General features: G+C 50.8%; 1 protein-coding gene across 24 annotated transcripts in view; it reads left to right on the plus strand.

Moving 5' to 3' along the window:
• Positions 1 to 21,883, plus strand: part of CTIF (cap binding complex dependent translation initiation factor) — a 324,187-nt gene that overhangs the window by 176,748 nt on the left and 125,556 nt on the right. The gene's annotated exons all lie outside the window — the stretch shown is intronic.

Here is a 21,883-nt window from a genome sequence, read left to right on the forward strand (position 1 = left end):
TGGTGTTGATACTGGTAGAAGATCAAAAGAGGAAGTGGTATCAGCAGAGAGAAGTTGGGCTGCAGTGCAGTCTTAGAGAGTTCTGAGCCTGTAGGGGAGGTTCTGAAGTTGGGCTGACTCTTTAAGAGCTGTCCCAAGATGGGGTAAAGGGGCAGGCCTTGATACCTCCATGTCTGTTGGTCATCAGGCAGGGACTGCCCAAGGAAGGGAGCGTTACCTTGGGCGGGGCTGCGCTCTTTGCCCAGAGCAGTTGTCCTAGGGGTTGGCAGCTGAGGGCTGTCTGCACAGCACTTCCAGCAGCCGGGAGGCAGTGCCCCGCTCCTGAATGTGTATCACAGCAGACACTGCAGTGAAGCACTGTTCAGTTCTCCTACTGGGATTGGTTGGGCTGTACCCTGTGCCATAAGCTGTGCCCGAGAATACGGGAAGTATAGGGTGTGGCCCCTGCTCTCGAGGGCCTGAGCTGTAGCTTGCACAATGGTGCCTTGACTCCAGAAGCAACCAGAACGCTGTGCATGACTGTCAGTCATCCACGTGTTAACAGGGAGGAGGCTTAGAGAAAGCAGCCATCCTGGGAGATGCTCCAGAATGCTTCCTGGAGGAGGTGGGGCTTGAACTACTAGTGAGACCTCCAGGAGGATTTGGGAGATGGGAGGGTGTTGGGATGAGAGGAGCGGTGCTTGCTGCCTCTGTCCTGTGATTGACCGTGACTGTGGCTTGGTGTCCTCTAAATGCTCCTCTGCATCTAAGCAGGCTCTGGAGCCAGGGATTCCCCACATCCCCAGAAGTCGTCCCCACATGGCTCCCTAGAAACAGAGCCATGTGGGTGGTGCTCACAGCGGCCACCACCCCCAATTGAACTACATAGAAGGGAAAAGCCACTGGAGCCTGCCAGCTCCAGATGATCCCGCCCGACTGTCAGCAATGTCAGAAGACCCTGCAGGCTCCAAAGCCCGGCCTCTTAACCATCAGAAGAGGTGGCTAATGTAGGCATTAGTGGTCCATCGCACCGTGCCTGTGCGGCCAGGGAGACAAGAGAGCCATTCTCCAAATTAATTTGTTTCATTAAGTGAGGTCTCGGAATGGTTAATTTACTCCATGTGCAAAGCAGATTGAAAGGAAGAAGAGAAAAAGACCTTAGCCAGCCCAGCTAGTGTCAGATGGCTCCGCAGGACTAGAGGCAGGGGAGCGAGCCATCCACCTGGCGTGCGGAGTGGGCCACATGCTGGACGTTGCAGGGTGGCCACAGCCTACAGCAGCGCTTGCTGCCTCTGTCCTGCGATTGACCGTGACTGTGATTTGGTGTCTTCTAAATGTAGAACCAATTAAGAATTTTGGGGCCGGGCGTGGAGGCTCATGCCTATAATCCCAGCACTTTGGGAGGCTGAGACGGGCAGATCACCTGAGGTTCAGGGGTTTGAGACTAGCCTGATCAACATGGAGAAACCCCGTCTCTACTAAAAATACAAAATTAGCCGAGCGTGGTGGTGCAGCCTATAATCCCAGTTACTCGGGAGGCTGAGGCAGGAGAATTGCCTGAACCTGGGAGGCGGAGGTTGCAGTGAGCCGAGATCACGCCATTGCACTCCAGCCTGGGCAACAAGAGCGAAAATCTGTCTTTAAAAAATAAATAAATAAATAAATAAATAAATAAATAAATAAATAAATAATAAGAATTTTGTCCCTCCCTCTCTTCCTCTGCCAACGTGAACCCAGACCCTAAGTGTCAGTCATCAGATTGGATTTTTCAAGCTCTCTGTAACATCATCTAAGTCACTGATAAAAACAAACAGGACATATGGAACTTTGTGAATAGACTAAAAAGCACTCAATTATATACTTTAAAGGAGTGAATTTTGTACTGTGTGAATTATATCTCAATTAAAAAAAATTTAAAGAATAAGGCAGGTCCCAGGATGAAGTGATGTGGCAAGCCTCTTGAAACACCCCTTCAAAATTTTTTTTAGCAACAGGGTCTTGCTCTGTCACCCAGGCTGGAGTACAGTAGTGCAATAATAGTTCATTGCAGCCTTGAACTCCTGGCCTCAAGCAATCCTCCTGCCTCAGCCTCTTGAGTAGTTCTAGGGACTATAGGCACCCGCCACCACACCTGACTAATTTTATTTTTATTGCTTGATTGATTGGTAGCGATGGAGTCTTGCTATGTTGCCCAGACTGGTCTCAAACTCCTGGCCTCAAGTGCTCCTCTCCCGTCAACCTTCCAAGTAGCTGGGATTATAGACACAAGCCACCATACCCAGCTACCTCTTCAACCTTGATATTTTCAGGGTTCCCTAAATGTGTCAGGCTAGTAACTGTTTCAAAAAAGGACATAGATTTGGTCTGGCCATGACTTGGTCTGTGTGAACCTGTGCTAGCTATTAGTGGTCACCTTTTTTCTTCCAAACCATCTGTTTGGCAATCTCTTTTGGAGAAATGATATCCATATTTTTCCAATTTTTGAAAATTAGACTGTGTATACCTAGCTACAGTCTCTAACACTTTTGTTGCATTATTCAGAGTTTTCCAGAGAAACAGAACTGATAGGATATATTGAGAGGAAGAGAGAGAGATGTATCATGGGAATTGGCTCATGAGATTATGGAGGCCAAGAAGTCCCACAGTCTGCCATCTGCTGCAAGCTAGAGAACCAGGAAAGCCAGTGGTGTAATCAACCCAAGTCCGAAGGCCAAGAAACAGGAGCATGTATGAGGTTCCCAGCGTGACCGTAAGCATACCATGTGTTACAGCATGGGATGTCCAAGGGCAGGAGAAGATGGATGTCGCCACTCAAGAAGAGGGAGTGAAGTCACCCCTCCTCTGCCTTTTGTTCTGTTTGGGCCCTTGGCGGATTGGATGGTGCCCATCCACACTGGGAGAGAGATCTTTACTCAGTCTACTGACTGAAAATGTCCTCATAGACACACCTAGAAATAATGTCTTACCAGCTAACTGGGCACCCCCTAGCCCAGTCAGGTTGACATGAAATTAACCCTTATATCTGTTCTCCAGGATTCCTCAGACATGGTCAGGGGCCATTTATGACCTCATGTAAAGATTTCTTTTACTCCAATCAATATCAATATCGCCCCATTCCCGAGGCATGAAGGTGAGCACTCAGAGCACCCATTGCTCTCCGTGGAGTCTTCCAGGCCCTCAGCGTCTGACAGATGCGGCAACTGCAGCTGCCTTTTCTGGGCTGGTACCTGTTCTCTTGCAGAAGGCAAACTTGGAGTGGGAGAGGTCTGCTTTCTTTTTGCCACCTCTTAATTCTACGCTGTCTGCCCCATCAGTAGCCTCATGTGTCCCTCTGACTTCTCACTCTCAATACGAAAATATGCTTCTAGAATTGTCTTTAATATTTTTAAGCCCCATTCCTTGACACTGCTGTGGCTTCTGTATCCCAGGCTTTGATGGTCATCTGTGACTACAGGAGGCCCCACATTCCTTTTCACATGTGGGCTCATGGGCAAGGACTCTGGGGGATACCAAGTGCCTCTCGACATCCCTCTCTTTAAGTCACAGCTGCTATCTGGAACTTGCTGCTCCTTTTAGCACCTCAGAACACTCTACCAGTCATAGAGTCCCACATCCTACAAAAATGACCAGGTCCCCCAGATCTTGCCCACCGGGAACTGATGAGGAATTAACCTAGTCGGAGTCCTATATCTATACATCAGCTCATTCACATGAGTTGTTAAGATAGCTCTTTTGGAAGTGCAGTCCATCCTTATTACTCATTGATTCATATTTGCACATTCGCCTACTTGTAAAACTTATTTGTAACACCGCACTCAATACTCATGGTGTTTTTGCAGTCAGTCATTGACACACAAACAGTGAAAAATTTGAGTTGCCTGACCTGCAAGATCCCAGTCCAGGCCAAAGTAACACTCTGCCTCCTTGTTTCAGCTCTCATAGTATAAGCAAGCACCCTTCTCATGGTTCTGTTTACTGCCATGTTTTTCACATTTTTGTGCTTTTCCTTGGTGAATTTGCTATTTTAAATGGCTCCTAAACATAGTACTGAAGTGCCGTCTACTGTTCTTAAGCGCAAGGAGGCTGTGATGTGCCTTCCGGAGAAAATGTGTGTGTTAGATAAGCATCACTCAGGCATGAGTTATAGTGCTGTTGGCCGTGAGTTCAATGTTAATAAATCAACAATATGTATTAAATAAGGTTTCTTTAAACAGAAACACATACAAAACGAGGTTATGTATTGATCCAGTGGTGAAAATGTTGTGACCAGAGGCTTGCAGGAACCAAACCCCGCATTTCCCCTAGGAGTAATAGTTCAGTATTCACTAATTCAGTATTTGCAGCAACTTTATGGAATGCAACTACCATAAATAATGAGAAGTGACCGTACTTGCTCTTTAAAACAGAGTAGAGAGATGCTGAAGATAAAGAAGTATGTTGTAGGCAACAGGATCTTAGGTCTGAGTGATTTATCTTGTTCGTGTGTGGTGGTAGCTTCGCTAGGGGATGAGATGGGGACGGGGGGGATGCTTCTTCCAGTGGTCATTGTCCTGCATGGTTTGACTGAGCCTATCACTGCTTCATTTGCACCATGCTGGGATGCCACTGTTGCTGAGGCCCTCGCAGACAGCTCAGCCCTGCAGTGACTGTCATTGCCATCCTGTCATCCGAGCCCAGGGACCGCGAGACAGATCTATGCTCACTTTGCCCACGGTTTGTCTTTCCATCCCAGCAAGGAAATTGCCCTCATTAAGTCCCTGCTAAAGATAGATAAGAAAATGGGACAGGCAAACCCCCACCTGGCAGGCAGCCCTGTCAGATTCTAAGCAAAATGAGTCAGATAAGAATTATTTTTAGGATCCTTCTCCTCCTCCCTCACGCCCACCCCCAAGCAGGCTCTCTCTTGAAAAGAAGAGCAGCTCATTTCTTCAAGCCAGATGTCCAGGTCCATGCTTGATTGAAATGGAGCCCCTGATACACCCAGAGAAAGCCCCACGCTTTGTACAAATCATGATGGTCCCAATAATCCTTTGCACAGTGCAGCTGCCTCAGGCCGCACTCCTGGGCAGAACAAGCTGCAGAGAGTGGCCCTGTTGAGGCTGGCCCACAACTCACCCATGAGGGATATACCTTCCCCCGATCCCCATGCTCAGGACTTCCTCCCAGCATCACACTTCATGGGAATACAAGGCTCTGGGGGTTCTCTCCCATCGGGACCCACATCCACGCGGGGGACAAATGGGTAAGAAAAGAGGTTGCCTACAGCTCATTTTGGCAGAGCCCTGGAACCCCCTGTGCCCACCAGGCAGTGGGCATCCCCTAGTTCTGTGCCCACAGTTGGAGAGCAGAGTACTACTCTTTCTCGATCACAATAATCCCCTTTTCCCCAGCAATTAGAATTCCTTCAGACCCCTTAAGCCCTAAATAGCAAAGGGAGACCCAATGACAAGAAAGGTGACTGAAGAGGACGTAGGGGCACATGTCTAGTTACCTGCAGGACAGGAGGGCTGCTCCCTGAGAAACTGGCCCTGGAGAGATAAATGCCATTTCCCCAAGGTCTGCGTCTAGGATGGGACGTAGAATGGACGCCTTGGGAACCAGCCACCCAAGCTGGTTTCATTCCTCCTCAGAGGTCTAGTCTCTACTGAAATGCTAGGCATTTGAGGATTGGCTCACAAACACTAACACCCAACCCTTCATTCCTCTCCGGAGCCCCAAGCAACCTGGCCTCTGGCACCAAGCCAGCCCAGCCCTCCCCGGGGACAGTGTGTCTGGTGGGCAGCCCAGGCCCAGGGCGAGGCTCACTGGCTTCAAGACGAGCTCATCTCTCACCAGCCAGGGGATCTTGGGCCCTGGACAAACCATTCTTCTTATGTCCCCAAGGACACCATTGTGCAGACTACAGGGATGCCATTAGATGCCATGTGATGGCAGATACGAGGGAAGTCCTGACCCTGTGTGCGGCTCTGAGTCTAACCTCAGAGAACGTGCATCCCCCCCTCTCTGTCCTGACACTCACTCCTGTGCAGGAAGAAAAGAACACTGGACCAGAAGTCATGGAATCTGGATTTTCATACTTGTGGTGTGGTTCAGAGCAATTCTCTTACACTTTAAGGGTACACAGTTTCTCAGCTATAAAATAGGGCTCTGATTTCAGCTCTACAATGTATTAGAGAGAGTGCGAGGTGAAGATGAAAAGGGACACTTCTCAGGGATATTCCATTCCTTAACCATGGGATGGGAAAGACAGTTCTGAAAGACATGTTGGAGGCTGGCCAGGGCTTTCAGTGCAAATAACCAGTGTCTCGTGTATCTTCAGCTCAGCCCATGTGCCCTGTCCAGAAGGTTCTAGAAAGGCAGCCATGCCTGCTGCCCCTGTGTATATTTTTCCTTCCCCAGATCTGGCACACAGTCATACTAGGCTAAGCCTCATACTCCTGGCCCTGTGCTTTTTTTTTTTTTTTTTTTTTTTTGTGAGACAGGATCTCACTCTGTTGTCCAGGCTGGAGTTGCAGTGGCACAATTATAGCTCACGACAGCCTCGACCTGCTGGGCTCAAGTGATCCTCCCACCTCAGCCTCCCAAGTAACTGGGACCACAGGCACGTGCCACCACACTTGGCTAAATTTTTTATTTTTTATTTTATAGAGACAGGGTTTTGCCATGTTGCCTAAGCTGGTCTTGAACCCCTGGCCTCAAGCAATCCTCTCACCTCAGCCTCCCACAGTGCTAGGATTAAGGGCATGAGCCACAGCACCCAGCCTCTCTGTCCTCTTGAGATCGTATGCTGCCCAGGACCGCAAGATTCACAGGTGTAAGTACCCAGCCATACCTGTTGGTGCTCACAGGTGTAAGCACCCGGCCGTACTCATCGGCACTCACAGGTGTAAGCACCCGGCCGTACCCATCAGCGCTCACAGGTGTAAGCACCCAGCCGTACCCATCAGCGCTCACAGGTGTAAGCACCCGGCCGTACCCATCAGCGCTCACAGGTGTAAGCACACGGCTGTGCCCATCGGCGCTCACAGGTGTAAGCACCCGGCCATACCCATCGGCGCTCATAGGTGTAAGCACTTGGCTGTACTCATTGATGTAGCAGGCTGTGCATCCCACTGGTTCTGAGGGTCTTTTTCGCTAGACTCCCAGGCAAGCCTGGCCCACCCTCTGCCAAGCCTGGATGTCACTCAGCAATTCACAAGCACTTCCAGAGCACTCACTGTATTCAGGGCACCCTTTAGCTCATATAGTCTTCCCAATGACCTTAGGAAGGAGATGCTATTTTTATTTCCAATTTACAGATGAGGAAAGTCACTAGTCCAGAAAAGTGAAGCGACACAAGCAGCCTGGCTTCCAGGCGTGTGCTGCTAACAACCCACTGCTCTGGGACCCCCTCCTTCCCCATCTGCAGACTCAGCTTCCGTCTGCTGGGCCCCTCCCTGGCTGCCTCCTACATACTCCCCCTGTTAACCACCTGATCAACTCACATGCACGGGGAGCTAAAGACGGCATGGTCCTCTTTGGGGTGAGGGGGCTGTCATGTCAAATGGACTAGGGGAGGGCTGCTGCCTCATTCAAAGGGATGAATGAATGAATGAATGAATGAATGATGAGATTTCAGATGAGACCCTCAGACAGGGTCACCCACCCTCCCACCTTCTCCCCACCTGCACTAGGTCAGTCCTGCCCATAGATTACTTTCCTTGTCTGGATGATTCATGAATAGACATATTTAGGAAGCCCTCGAAACTGACCAGGGATTTCCCAGATTGTGGGGACCCCACTCGATGAGCACCCAGAGGGAAAGTTCTGTGAGTTCTGGAGTGGTGGGCAGCTCAGGGGGTGGGGAGGCAGCCCGGCCAGAGGAGAGCTTCCTCCAGCTGTTGGCTCCCCTGACTCCCAAGAGGACAAACCCAGAGCATGAGGGTGCCTTTCACTCCTCAGGGCTCCCCAGGAGAGACAGGGGCACAGGTTTTAAAAATACCAAGGAGCTTTCCTCCTGGGTCGGCATTTACCCTGAACTCCAAGAGTTATTTCTGAGTCTTCCCAGTAATTTAATTATAGCCATTTATTCCAATGCATGTGTTTTGGGGAAGCCAAGGTGGCCTCTATTACAGTTTGGAATATTTTGGGAGGCCTTGGTTTCCAAAAGTGATGCAGGGACTCAATTAGGCAAGACACCAGCAAACAGAAATAAAATAGCTCAAGAAGATAGGCCCTCAAGTTCCCAGAGGCGATGCCTGTACTTAGCACCCACGGGGGAAATTAAGATGAAGTTGTCCCCTGGGTGCTTGGTGTAGTCATCTCTGTAGCAGCAGCATATGCCACCTTCTCCATGTCTCTAAGCACCTGCAGGGATTTCAATGCCCTTCAAATTATGGGCTGGATGGGGTTGCCCATTCTTTCCAAGTAGGCCTGGACAGATGAACAGCCTGGGCACCAGGATTTAGGTCCCCCTTGTAGGTGGACACAGACTCACCAACAACTTGTGGGATGGCATTATCAAACAGCTTCTAACCTTTCAAATAGGCCTTTGGAATCCTCAACTGGTTCGCGCTCCCTGACCCCCTGCTCCTTGTAGATGGCCTGCTCCACCTGCCCTCAGCTCTGTCCCCACCTACCCTCCCACCCACTGTCTTCACTCGCTGTGCTCTCCAGACCCCAGTCTTCTCGCTGTTCTTTGAACAGGCCTGTCTCTGTCCTGCTCCCAACACTGACCAGCCCCTGTACCTCAGTCCCTCTCCCTTGCCTCTTGTTCCTGCTGGCCTCCTCTGATTCTGCAGGTTCTGCTGACTCCTTCCTACTCCTCCACCCCTTACTATTCATGGCCTCATTCATCCTCCCTTGATCCTCTTCCCTGACCTTCCCTACAGCTGCTGGGCGGGGTCCAGCCTGACACAGACTGAGAGCTTTCCCTGCTGTGTGTGAGCTCCTGGGCTCACCTGAAGCAGGTGCGGCCACTGAGGGACTTAGGGAAGGGCAGAGGGCCGGAGAGCATCCAGCACACACATTCATTCATGTCTGGAGGGCAAGCCCCGGGATCCTGAGTCACCTCAGCAGGTGGATAGAGGAGCCCAAAACAGAAGCTGCTGCCTGGAGCCCACATTATCTGCATTGACACCCGCCTGCAGGAATACGACTGCCCTTGTGTTGGCTTTGAACTCTGTCTTTCAGCTTCAAGGGGAGGATTTGGTGGACAAAAGATCTAATTTTAGGCTTATTACTTGTCAGGACTGACATTGAACTCAAGAAAAGACATGTGTGAACTTGAAACAAAGATGAGAAATGTTTTTAGAAAGAGAAAATGTGTTCTGGGGTGGTGTGCATGTTTGGTCTGGTGGTCTGTGTGGCCACAGCAAACACGTGTTCCAGACTGGCTCTGCATGTCAGGGAGCAGATGGCTCGGCCTGGTCACCCTGAGCAGGAAGCTTGCTGCCTTTGAGCTGTGAGCTGCAGCCACGGTGCAAAGAGGCTGGGCGGAGGCTGGGGTGAGACACTTAGAGGGCAGGATTCTGACTGTGCCCTGATATTCAGGAGGGCTGGCGGTGCTCAGTCAGGGGTAGGGTAGGAACAGTGATCATCAGGGCCTCTTTAGGCAGAGCACACAAAGGCCAATTCCCTCCCAAGGCTCCACCATCCCAATTCCTGTCCCAACGCCCCTCCTAGGATGGCAGGGGAGCCTCGGCGCCCTTTCCGGGAGACAGCCCCGGTGTATTTTGACTGTGCTTCCTTACTCTACAAGCAGTCAAGGACAGCCACCTTCTGCCTTCCCACCACCCCCTTAGGGTGAGAATGAGGAGGAGCTCCCACCTTCCTCTACTCTCATGCGGCCCCTTTTGACCCCAGATTTACTGCTCCTGCATCCCGTTTTGTGAACTGGTGTGTCAGTGGTTGATCTACCCTTAATGGTAACCCAGGGCATGTTACTTTGCATTTTCACTTGAGCCTTCAGTGATTACCCAGAGTTAAGAGAATGATTTAGTTTCTGGCACACTGAGAAGCTCCCACGTGTGGGAGGTAGGTGAGGGTGGGTATATGTCATGTTATTTCAAGGCAGATTTTTTTGCTCCTAAGAGCCTAAAACCATCCCACTTGAGGCAAACCCACATTTTGCCTCTGACTTTGTTGCCTGGAGGTCATATCACAGGAGCCACACCAGGGCCCTTATTCCAGCCTAATGTGTAGGTGGTCCTTTGAGAATGCTGAGTTGCCTAGACTTCATTCGAGTCCTGTCACTAGATATGTAGCCTCAAGACATCCCTTCACCTCTTTGAGGCATGTTGCTCAACTATAAAATACGATATCCACCTTGTAAGAGTGTTCTGCAGTTCAAATGAGGTGATGCTCAGAAAGGAGGTAAAATGCCAAGGGCAACACAAACCTGAGGACTTATTGCCTATATTTGTGTTTGAATCACACATGTTCGGTTTATGTTTATAGTTGTGGATATGTACGTGTGCATGTGATTGCTTTAGGACTCTGCTAATCATCATTTCCAATGATAATTTGCTGGAAATGGAGCTTGGCTTGGACGTTTGTATTGGGGTTATCTATTGCTGTGTAACAAATTTCTCCAAGACGTAGAGTTTAAAACAACAAATATTTATTATGTCACCCAGTTTCCAAGGGTCAGGAATCCAGGAGCAGTTTAACAGGGTTGTCCTAGCTCAAAGTCACCCTTGAGAGTGTAGTCAAACTGTCAGCCAGGGGTGTAGGCATCTGAAGGCATGACTGGGGCTGGAGAAAGCCCAAGCAGTTGGAGAACAGCCTCCTTCACAAGGTGGTTGGCAGTTCTCAGTTTCTCATTAGCTGTTGGTCACAAGGTGGACCTCTTCATAGGGCTGTTCATGACATAGCAGCTGACTTGTCCCAGAGTATGATCCAAGAGAGACAGACAGGAAGACAAGCAGACAGACAGACACCAAGATCGAAGCTGCAGTATGCTTTGTAACCTAATCTTGGAAGTGACATGCCATATTCTACCATATTCTGTTGGTCACATAGACTAACCTTGGTACAGTGTGGGAGGGGACTTTACAGGGATATAAATTCCATAAAGTGGGGATCACTGGGGACAATCTTAGAGGCTGACTACCACAACCCACCCTCTCATTCCCAGTGACTCACATGCAAAATAGTCTCACCCCTCCCAATGTCTCATTTGATTATAGCATCAGCTCCAAGTCCAAAGTCTCATCATCTAGATCATGTTCAGATGCAGATGACGCTCTTTGGGTGTATCTCCTTAAGTACAGCACCTCAGGTACAGTTCACTCTTGATCTGTAGGCCTGAGATTTAAGGAGGCAAGTTAGCTGCACACACACACACACACACACACACACACACACACGTAGCCAACATACAATTGTGGGACAGGCATAGGGTAACAGCCTTAGATACACTTATTCAAGAAGAGGGGAAACAAGAAGCACATAGACATTGTTGGTCCATAGCAGTTCTGAAATCCAGCCAGGCAGATATTGGAAGTTTCTTGATTAGAACTCAGTTCTGTTCCTGCCCAGGAATTATTCTACAAGGCTGTCTCCGCCCTCTGCATTCAGGGTCTTTCATGAGATTGCAGCAAGTCATGAGCCCAGTGAATACTCTGGGCTCTTGGTTCTGCCTCTGAGTCATCCTTCCTTTTCTATGAAAGGTAGCATGTCTTTGCAGCTGATTTGTTGCTCAGATAGCTTCCTGCTGGTAGAATTTGGGAGGTCCAAGAGCTTCTTTATATTTTGTACTGTGTCTCTCCCTTCCAGTCCAAGTTGTTGTGTTTCCACTGAAATAATCCTTTGAAAAACTTTATGGGTCTTCTGTGATCCTATTGAGTCTGTTCCACCAAATAAAAGCCCACCCACACATCTCTTCAAGACCATCCCTTCTCTCCGCTGGGCTTCTGCTGAGGGACAATGCCCTTAAGCTTCTTAGAAGCTCTGTTGTTTGACTGAGAAGATCTTTAACATCTCTTAAAATCTTTACAGAGCTTTTGGTCTGACTGAATAGTACTCTGAGGCAGCACCGCTGAACTTTCTAAGATCTTGACAAAGACTTCATAGCCACACCCTCCACCTCATCTTTGGACTATGCTTTCCTGAGAGTGCCTGGATTTGATCTTTACGCAGAAGTCATTTCCTAATTTTAGCATCATTTGCCATCTGGACAGTCTGGGACTCTTCAAAACTAGCAAGTCCTGGATTTTTTTTTATTGTGACAGCCCTTCTTTTAACTTGTCTCTCTCTTCTCACATTTTACCTAGCAAGAAGAAACCAGGCAGCCCCTGCAGGACCCTGGCTAAAAACTTCTTCCTTAGATAATGCAAGTCATTAAGTACATTTTCTGCTTTTCACATATCTGTAGGAGACAATGTTGCTAAACATTTTGGGGCTACATAATAAAAATCCTCCTTCCTCTAATTCCCAATAATATATTTTTCACCTCCCTTAAAGCCCCCATCACCAGTCTCCTCAAAGTCCATATTTCTACCAGTGGTCTCTTCATGGCATTTGAAGTTTTCACTAAGAATCACCCCAGAATGCTTCTGGCTCCGGCCCACTGCCCAGTACCAAAGCCACTCTCACATTGCAGAGTTTCACTATGGCAGCACCCTACTTCCAAGTACCCAAAGCTGTATTAGTTATCTCTTGCTGTGTAACAAATTACTCCCCAAATTTAGCAGCTTAAAATAAGCACTTATGATCTCACACAGTTTATGACGGTCAAGCATCCAGAAGCTATATAGCTGGGGAGTTCTGGCTCAGGGTCTCTCGTGAGATTGTGGTCAGGCTGTTGGCCAGGATTGCGGTCATCTGACACTTGACTCAGATGGGACTGGAAGAGCCACTTCCCAGCTCACGGATGTGGTTGCTGGCAGGCCTTGGCTCCTCACTGGCTGTTGGCTGGAGGCTTCATTTCCTTGCAACGTGGGCCTCTCTGTAGGGTGCTCATGACAGAGTGAGTGGCCTGTGAAGGAGGGAGGGGGAGAGTGAGAGAGAGAGAGAGAGAGAGAGAAGGAAAGAGAGAGATAAGCTGTTGGATCTTTTGTAACCTGGTCTCAAAGCAACATACCATCCCTTCTGCCATATTCCATTGGTCACAGACTAACCGTGATGTGGCAAGGGACTAAACAAGAGTTTGAGTGTCAGGAGGTGGGGACCACTGGGAGCCACCTTTATCTGTTTTGAGTTCCTTCCTGTACCATTGCTTTTTCCCCCCACTTTAAATGATCTAGTGAAACTCACCGGTAGCTTTGAATGGGTTGAGGGTTTTTGTGTGTTCTGATTCAACTTCAAACCTCTCTACAAATGCCCTCCTCATCCTGTCCTCCCCTCTGCGCTTCCATCCTTCCTGCCCATGGCCCCTCTCCATGGTGGGGCATCAGTGAAGACGCTTCCTGCCTGGGGAAGATTTGAAGCCAGGGGATGCTGTTGCCAGAACTTTGGAACACCCCTCTTACCCAGGGGGTCCAGCAGATAGTTCTGGGAAAAGGAAACTTTCCAAGATACACACCCACGTTCCCCCCACCACCACTACCACACACACAGACACACACTCACACATGTAATTATTTTCCCTTAAACTCTATAATCTCAATGATTATAAAAAGTTTGGGCTTTAATTGGAAGCGTATTGAAATCCTTGCATCTGTCAGACACTGACAGAGAAGGCTTCCTTGCTTAGGTGGGAAAATAACCCAAATATTAACAACACAAATAAAGATGGCTCCCCCAGCCTTTCTCACAGCAGCCGCCAGTGGTCTGGGAGGCAGTAGGATGAGAGCTGGCGTCCCCATGAGAAGAGTGAGATCAGCGAGACTCAGAAAGGTGATGCGATTTACTCCAGGCCTTGCAGAGCTGAGGCTGGTCCCAGACATCCAGACGTCTGGATTCTTTTCCACAGGGTTCTGGAATGTTGGTCCTGTGGTGGAAAACACGTGCTCCTTTTTCACCCACTTGGGGATCCGTGGTGATCTGGAGTTGTCTTCCTGTCTGGGGAGGGTGGTCCTGCCTCGGGTAGAGGACCAGATATGGTGGGGGTTCAGAATGCTGTGGAGAGAAGTCCCTCAGAAACGGAAATATTTTGGCAGGCATGAGGAAAGATTGTGAGGGAGCACCCAGTGGTGGGACAGTGGCGATGGACAGAAGAGGACTCCTGTTAATCCGCTCTTTCCAATCCACCCAGATGCCCTTCCCTGCATTTTGAGGCATCCCTGGGAGGACTGCCTCAGGAGGCTTCACCTCCAGGTGGAGTCTCAGGTGAAGTAATAGTAGCCGGCTTTGTCCACAGCTGTGCTGCCCAGCGCAGTCACCACGAGCTGCCTGTGGTGATTTACACCCATTACAATTAAATAAAGCCACAAGTTCAGTTCTGCAGTCATATTGGCCACATTCAGGGCTAGCCACATGTGGTGAAGGGCCTCCACAGTGTGAGGGGCCCCCGAGGTGTGAGGGGCTCCTGTGGTGTGAGGAGCCCCCGAAGTGTGAGGGGCCTCCGCGGTGTGAGGGGCCCCCGCAGTGTGAGGGCCTCCTGGGGTGTGAGGGGCCCCTGAGGTGTGAGGGGCTTCTGCGGTGTGAGGGGCCCCTGCGGTGTGAGGGGCTCCTGCTGTGTGAGGGGCCCCTGCGGTGTGAGGGGCTCCTGCTGTGTGAGGGGCTTCCACGGTGTGTGGGGCCCCTGCGCTGTGAGGGGCCCCTGTGGTGTGAGGGGCTTCCGCGGTGTGAGGGGCTTCCGCGGTGTGAGGGGCTTCTGCGGTGTGAGGGGCTTCTGCGGTGTGAGGGGCCCCTGTGGTGTGAGGGGCTTCTGCTGTGTGAGGGGCTTCTGCGGTGTGAGGGGCCCCTGTGGTGTGAGGGGCTTCTGCTGTGTGAGGGGCTCCTGCGGTGTGAGGGGCCCCTGTGGTGTGAGGGGCTTCTGCGGTGTGAGGGGCTTCTGCGGTGTGAGGAGCCCCTGAGGTGTGAGGGGCTTCCGCGGTGTGAGGGGCTTCCGTGGTGTGAGGAGCCCCCGCAGCTTGAGGGGCCCCCACGATGAACGCAGTGTGAAGGGCCCCCTGTGGTGTGAGGGGCCTCTGGCAGTGTGAGGGGCTTCCGTGGTGTGAGGGACCCCCGCAGCATGAGGGGCCTCCCGCAGTGTGAGGGGCTTCCACAGTGGACCATGCTGCTCTAGGACGTTTTCATCATGGCAAAAATCCTGTCAGATGACCCTGCTCTGGGGAAACTCTCCCAGCCCAGAGAGGCAGGCATGGGGCAGTTGGGGGAGAAGAGAAAAGTGGAGAACCATTTGGAAGGGTCTGGGGGCCAGGGAAAAGGCATGAGGATGAGAAAGAAGAAGCTGAGAAAGAGAAGGGGTGCTCATGGAGCAGTGTGTGGCCCCTTTGGGTGCTCAGGAAATGGTCATTCCTCTTTGATCTGGGGCTCAGAGAGGCAGACAGTGCCTACCCTGTTGGGGTTTAAAACCCACAAGGGAGGACCACCTCCTGCAGCACCTTCTCTCAAAAGCTCCAGGCCCACTCTGCAGACCACCAGGACCCCCAAGAGCTGTGCAGCCTCACCAGCAGCTGATGGGCATCACTGGGAGGGAGTAGAGAAGGCTCATTATGATGGTCAATTCAGGACAAATCCTTTGGAATAGGGAGAGATGCCTGGAAGCTTCTGGAGAATGGAGAGGTCCCCATTTCCTAACCCACCATTGGTCCTTTGTCACCATATTCCCCACCCTCTATGCCTGAGTGGAACTCCGTTAACCCTCTCATTCCTGGAGAACTGCACAAACCACATCTCAACAATGTCTTCCCAGTGGCCACCTAACTCAGCTTAGGGACCTAGTAAGGGCTTGGTTTGTCTGTGATAAGTGAAAGGTGTGTGGATGGATGGGATTTCTTCAAAGTCTTATATGGAAATTATCCATATAAACCACTGAATAAAGAAGACCTCTTTAGTTTTTAGCGGGTTGGGACCAGAAACCCAATGGTCCCTTACCACTGCAGTGACTTCATTCCCGCTTATTATAACAGCAATTATTGAAGCTGCTTTTTATGGGACACCTCCTAGGCTGTGCATTCTATCTGGATTAGGGGTCAGCAAAGTTTTCTACAAAGGACCAGAGAATAAATCTTTCAGGTTTTGCAGGCCATAGGGTCTCTATCATAACTCCTCAGCTCTGCCATTGTAGCACAGAAGCAGTTATAGAAATATATAAATGAATGAAAGTGACTGCTTGCCAATAAAACTCTGTTTCCATAACCAGATAGCGGCTCCATTCGGCCCACAGGCCACCATTGGCCAATTCTTGTTGTAGGTTATCATGAATCTTCCAACACCCCGAAGAGAATGAAGTTTCCATTCCTACCTTACAGCCGAGGAGACCATGCTGCAGCAGTGCATTCACCTGGCCGCCGGGCTCACATGCCTTTTGAGGCAGACCTAGGCCTATCCAAGCAGGACTCCCATTCCCTGGGGTACGTTTTGATGTGGAACTGCAGAAGGCCTTGCCAGAGGCTGCCACGGGAGACCTCAGGATTCGGGGTACCCAGGAGTAGCCAGTGATGCCTCAGGGGTAACAGAAGAACCTGGAAGGCTGTAGGAAAAATAGAAGCCTGTTTCCCCTGCTTCACTGAGGTTGTAAGGCAACCCCGAGAAGGCAGAAGGGGACCAGCAGGGCAGTGCACACCCAGGAGACAGCTCTTACCTTGATGACGGGGCTGACCAGCCGGACACTGCCCTGCTTGGACCTTTTTTATGCCCACCACAGGGCAACCACTGCCTCCAGCATCCCCCCTGGAGAAGCTGCTGCAAAGCCGTCCCCTTCTATGGGAGCCACAGCTTGAAGCTAAAACAAGAGCCCAAAGCATCTTCAGGTGTAAGAAGAGGTCTCTTTCTTTCTTGTTCTCGGCAGCCCATCCTTCCCCAGCTCCTTCTGGACATGAGGTTTCTTGTTACCCTCTTCAAGTTCCTTTGGCTCGCAGCATTGCCTCTCCTCCAGACAATATGGCCTGGCCAGTGTGACCTGCTCCTGTATGCCCTCCAGCCCTCCCCAGCCATGCCACGGAGGGACAGAGCTGTCCAGATCCCAGCCAGGGTCTCCAATTTGTGCAAGGCAGGAGGAGGCACATGTCACTGATGTGAGAGCTGTCTAAGGGTTTCATTCATTCGCGTTTTCAATAGAGGCCGTGGTGTGCCTTGCAGATATTTGATCTACATCACCATAATCAGACAAGATTGGGCATGTTCAGGGTGGTGTGGCTGTAGACAACATCACCATCATCAGAAAAAGAAGGAGGAGGAGGAGCGTTATTTTGAGAGGCATCGGGGGCCTGGTTGCCTGGACTTTCATCATTAGTGCATGCTTATTTGGGTTAAAAATTCATAATCCCTGTGGTCCCTTCCAAAGCGTAGCTGCCCTGGGGAGGCAGTATCCCAAGGCACTCGGACACCTCTGTCACTAACTTTTTCAAGTTTGTGGATTATAGATAAGGGAGGAGGCGAGGAGGGGCCGAGAGGGAAGTGGGAAACTGTGTGGGAGGGGGTGGGTGCTCAGAGTGGAAGTGAAGATCAAGCTGAGTCCTCTAATGATGGTGCTGGGCCCCTGCCTGTCTCTTCTGGGAGTCACTGCCTCCATGTGCATTAACCCTGCAGATCCAGCCGCAGCCTGAGTGTTGAATAGGGCTAGCTGAGCTCTTTGCTGACCACTGTCTCCAGTGGAAACCACTGAGTGCAGGGTCAGGAGTGGGGTGCTCTCAGACACTGATGGAGCCATGCCCAAGACCCAGGGAACATCCTGTGGCTGGGGAGGAGTTACAGGGAAACAGATTGTCGGGCAAGGGTCTCTGGCCCCCCTCCCTGGCAGTCGAGGGCACACCAGTGTCTGGAGACAGTGTGGGTGCTGAGCTGGCACATCCACCACAGAGCAACTAGGATTATTGAGGAGAAGGAGGAAAATTATCTGAGCCCACCTAGGGTTTTCATTTGCAGCCCGTGATGAAGTCAGCTGGCCAAGAGGTCAGCTTCAGGCCACGCCTGTGGGGACCCTCCTGGCTCTTCACACTCAGCTCCCACCAGCCCACCCCAGAGTGCTTGCTCCCAACTCACCCTCGCAGCCCTTCCCCCTGGAAATCATAACTAAGCCCTCCCTTCCCCCAGTCTCTCAGGGCTGTCTCAGAACTAAGCTTTCCAGCCGGAGAATGCTCGGAGCATTTCAGCAGGGGTCTTCATTCTCAAGGAGGCGGGTACAATTTGGGGCTCAATAAAAGGGATATTTGAAAATAAAGCTGGGCATCCACCCAGCAAAGCCAGTTGGCAATGCCATGAGGGACGCTGTGTTCTTCTAACTCTGCTAAGCCTGCCCTGTGAGCCGTGGCTCAAACCCAGCATGGGAACTTCCTGTAGGGGAAGAGGCCAGGCTGTTTGGAAAAGAGACCTCGAGTCCCCACCCACTTCCCCTGGGACAAGGAGTGGGGAGACCCTCGGCTGCACCTTCTGTCCCCCACCCCCAGCATTGCTGTGGTCAGAGATAATACCAGGTTAGCTACATTAAAATTATTTGGGCTGGGCTCAGTGGCTCACGCCTGTAATCCTAGCACTTTGGGATGCCGAGGCAGGTGGATCACTTGAGGCCAGGAGTTCAAGACAGGCTTGGCCAACATGGTGAAACCCCGTCTCTACTAAAAATACAAAAATTAGCCGGGTTTGGTGGCACAGGCATGTAGTCCCCGCTACTCGGGAGGCTGAGGCAGGAGAATCGCTAGAACGCGGGAGGCAGAGGTTGCAGTGAGCCAAGATTGCACCACTGCACTCTAGCCTGGGTGACAGAGTGAGTGAGACTCTGTCTCAAAAAATAAAATAAAATTATTTGAATCCCAGGATTCATTGGGGTTCATTTGCATCCTGTTCATCATCACGGCAACATTCTGGGAGAGAAAGGGAAGACTTCCAAGAGGCTGAATCACTTTGCAGTGTTGACCTCACCCACCTCATGACCCCAGGGTGGTGGGAGCAATGCCCTTCACCAGCCCCTGTATGGATAGGAAGCAGGGGCTGGAGAGGAGGTTTTGGTCAGGAAGGGAGGCTCTGTGAATGCTTCTCGCAAGCCTAGACTGAGCCAGGCATTAGAGGAGCATCCCGTCTAGTTGGAGTGAGGTGATTAAGATATACTGAACAATTTACACTTAATATCATATTGCTGTGTGTGTACTCCTGTGTACATATACATATATGGTATATATGCACATGTGTGTTTATATGCATTTATATGCACACATGTATGCATGCATATTGCATGTGTGCAATATGTGTACAAGTATGTATATGCATGTGTTATGTGCCTATGCATATGTGCATGTATGTCCAGTTTGTGTGCGTGTGTGTGTGTGTGTGTGTGATGGCACAGTGCAGCCCATAAGGCCCTGTAACTTCAGAGAAAGGAAAGGCTTTGCAGTTTAGAGTAGCCAAGAAGCCTTCCTGGAGGAGGTGGAACCTGATCCGTCTCTGCAATGGGGCCAGCAGAGGGCAAGGGGAGAGCATTCCTGATAAGTGACTGAGCAGAGACAAAGGCCCAGAGGTAGGAGCAGAGAACACTGTTAGGAAAGAGGCCAAGCCAGGGAGGAAGGTGTGAGAAGCCAGTGAAGAATTAGAGCCAGTGCGCCAATTCTTCACTGCATCTGTGGCTGCATCTTTGGATGTCTTGCATGCAGATGTACAGGCAGCAAGTCCAAGAGAGCGTGTTGCTGGAGGGACAGCCGGCGCACAGGCACGTGGCAGGAAGCACGTGGCAGGTGGAGGATGTGGAGGAAGCAAGTGCATGCTTGAGAGAAGGAGACTGGAAGACTGGAAGCTAAAAGGGGAAAGAGGGAAGGAGGTGAGGACAGGGTGTTTGAACAGATTCTGTATCTCCAAGTGTCCAGTGGAGCCTTGGATTTTGTCTTGAGTCCCAGAGCCCAGTTCCTACCCATTTAGTTGGAGTCTTGAGGATTCTTGCCAGTGATTAAGTTTCCCCCATCAAAATAGGCTATGATGGAGACTTGAGATTCCCTTACCCAAAGGTGCCTGGGTCTGGTGAGAAGGAGGAGGCGCTCCCATTCCATCTCCAGTCCTCCCTGCGAGCTGCAGCCATCAATCTGGGACAGAGATACTAAACACTCCGTAAATGTTTGTGGATGGCCTCTTGGGGAGGGCTGGGCTGGTTGTGATCCTGTATGTCATGGGAAGCGGAGGAGTTGGAAAGGGCACACCCGGGTGGTCTGGTGGTTAGGATGGCCCCGTTCCTGGGAATGGTTGCCACGAAGCATTTTCCCTGGCTTCTCCATAGAAGCGACTGTTCCTTCCCGGAGTGTTATGAAAACCTGCAATTACCAAGCCGCCTCTGGGTGCGAGCATTCAGACCTCCTCTTCTTTCTTCCAAGATACACTGAGTCAAGACCTGGTCAGTGCAGAAAGCGGGTTCCTCTCCCACATTCCGTCCCGCATAGCCCCATGGGGCTGTGGTTAATGAGCTTGGTGATTATGTATTTCATGTCTGGGATGAGGAAGGTGAAGGGCTTGAGTGAATGCCTGTGCCTCTCCAAGTTCTGGAGCAAGCTGCCTTCTGCACTCGGCATGCTCTGGGACCACTCAGCAGATACCACCATGTCTCTGGGGTTTGGGGTCCCCTTCTTCCTCCAGCTGCACTGAGTGGAAGCCAGAGCTGTGCATAGAAGCTGGGAGAGGACTCAAGCAGGAATGTGCAATGCAGGGCTTCATGGAACGCTCCACCCAGACTGCCGCCTTGGGATGCCCAGAGTTTAGCTCTATCCTGTTCCTCCGATGATTTTCCTTCTGGGCATATATATTTCCTGGCCTCTTGCCTTTGCATGTGTGAGTCGTGATGGGGGTTGGGGGAAGAAGGAAAAACATATAGAATGGGTGGCTCCAGACTTGAAATTTTCACAGTGGAAGAGAGAATAAAAGCAACTCTTGTGGGTCAGGAAGTTTCTGGACCTGCCGCGCCATGGCCAGTGAGCCCCTAGGCCCCACATGGCCCTCCTGGGGAAGCTGACATTGGCCCGGCCTCAGGCGGGCAAAACATAAGGAGCCTCCTGTCAGGGCAGGCCAGGCACGGGGGCATGGCCTCTTTTTTCCTGGGAGAGCAGTCACCCCTCTGTCACCTGACCAGCTGCCCAGTCACTTGCTGCTGCACTCACGTTCACACAGCCGTGAACTCCCTAGAACTGCATCTGCTCAAACTGCTGCTTGACCCCTGCTTTGCATGCTTTCTTCTGCCTCCTGCTCACAGTCCTGTCTCCCTGATTCTCCACATGGCTCCATGTCACCCAGCAGTCCTGTGCCCCACTGCTGTGCAGAGAAGCCAGTGATGGCCCCTGCATGATGAGAGACTCCTGTGTCTACATCCTTCCTCCAAGGAGAAGTTGGCTAGTTCTGTGGCTTGGCCGGGAGTGGGTTTGGGTCAGCTTCTGCACAGTGTCCATTTTAAGGCCAATGGTCAACATCTTGTCCAAGGTCCTCATTTTGCAGCAAGAGCTGGGCTCCCCAAGGTGGGACCCTTGCCATTAGTAGAGCCTGACTCCTAAGTCTCCAGCTCCTGCCCTGGTGCTGCTCCCAGCATCTCACAAGACCCCACTCTGTCACGAAGAAGCAGTGAGGTCATGATGTTCAGAAGAGGAAGAAACCACAAAATAGCCTATTCTCTTGCAAGCTGCTGCACATGGAATTCTAGGGGCTCTTTGCCCCTTACCCAGAGTGGTAGGCCTTGCTGGAAAGCAGAATTGAACCACCTTGGAACAGGCAATTTTTAGAAATCAATCAGATGGATCAATTCATTAAAAAAGGTCATTCCTAAAAATCAAAAGCAGAAGGAAATACATGAACCTTACTAATGTTAACTGAAAAAAAAAAGCAAAGTAAGAAAAAGTATATGTAGTATGCTACT

The sequence above is a fragment of the Homo sapiens genome, chromosome 18, assembly GCF_000001405.40.
Source record: "Homo sapiens chromosome 18, GRCh38.p14 Primary Assembly".
In the NCBI taxonomy this organism is placed as follows: domain Eukaryota; kingdom Metazoa; phylum Chordata; class Mammalia; order Primates; family Hominidae; genus Homo; species Homo sapiens.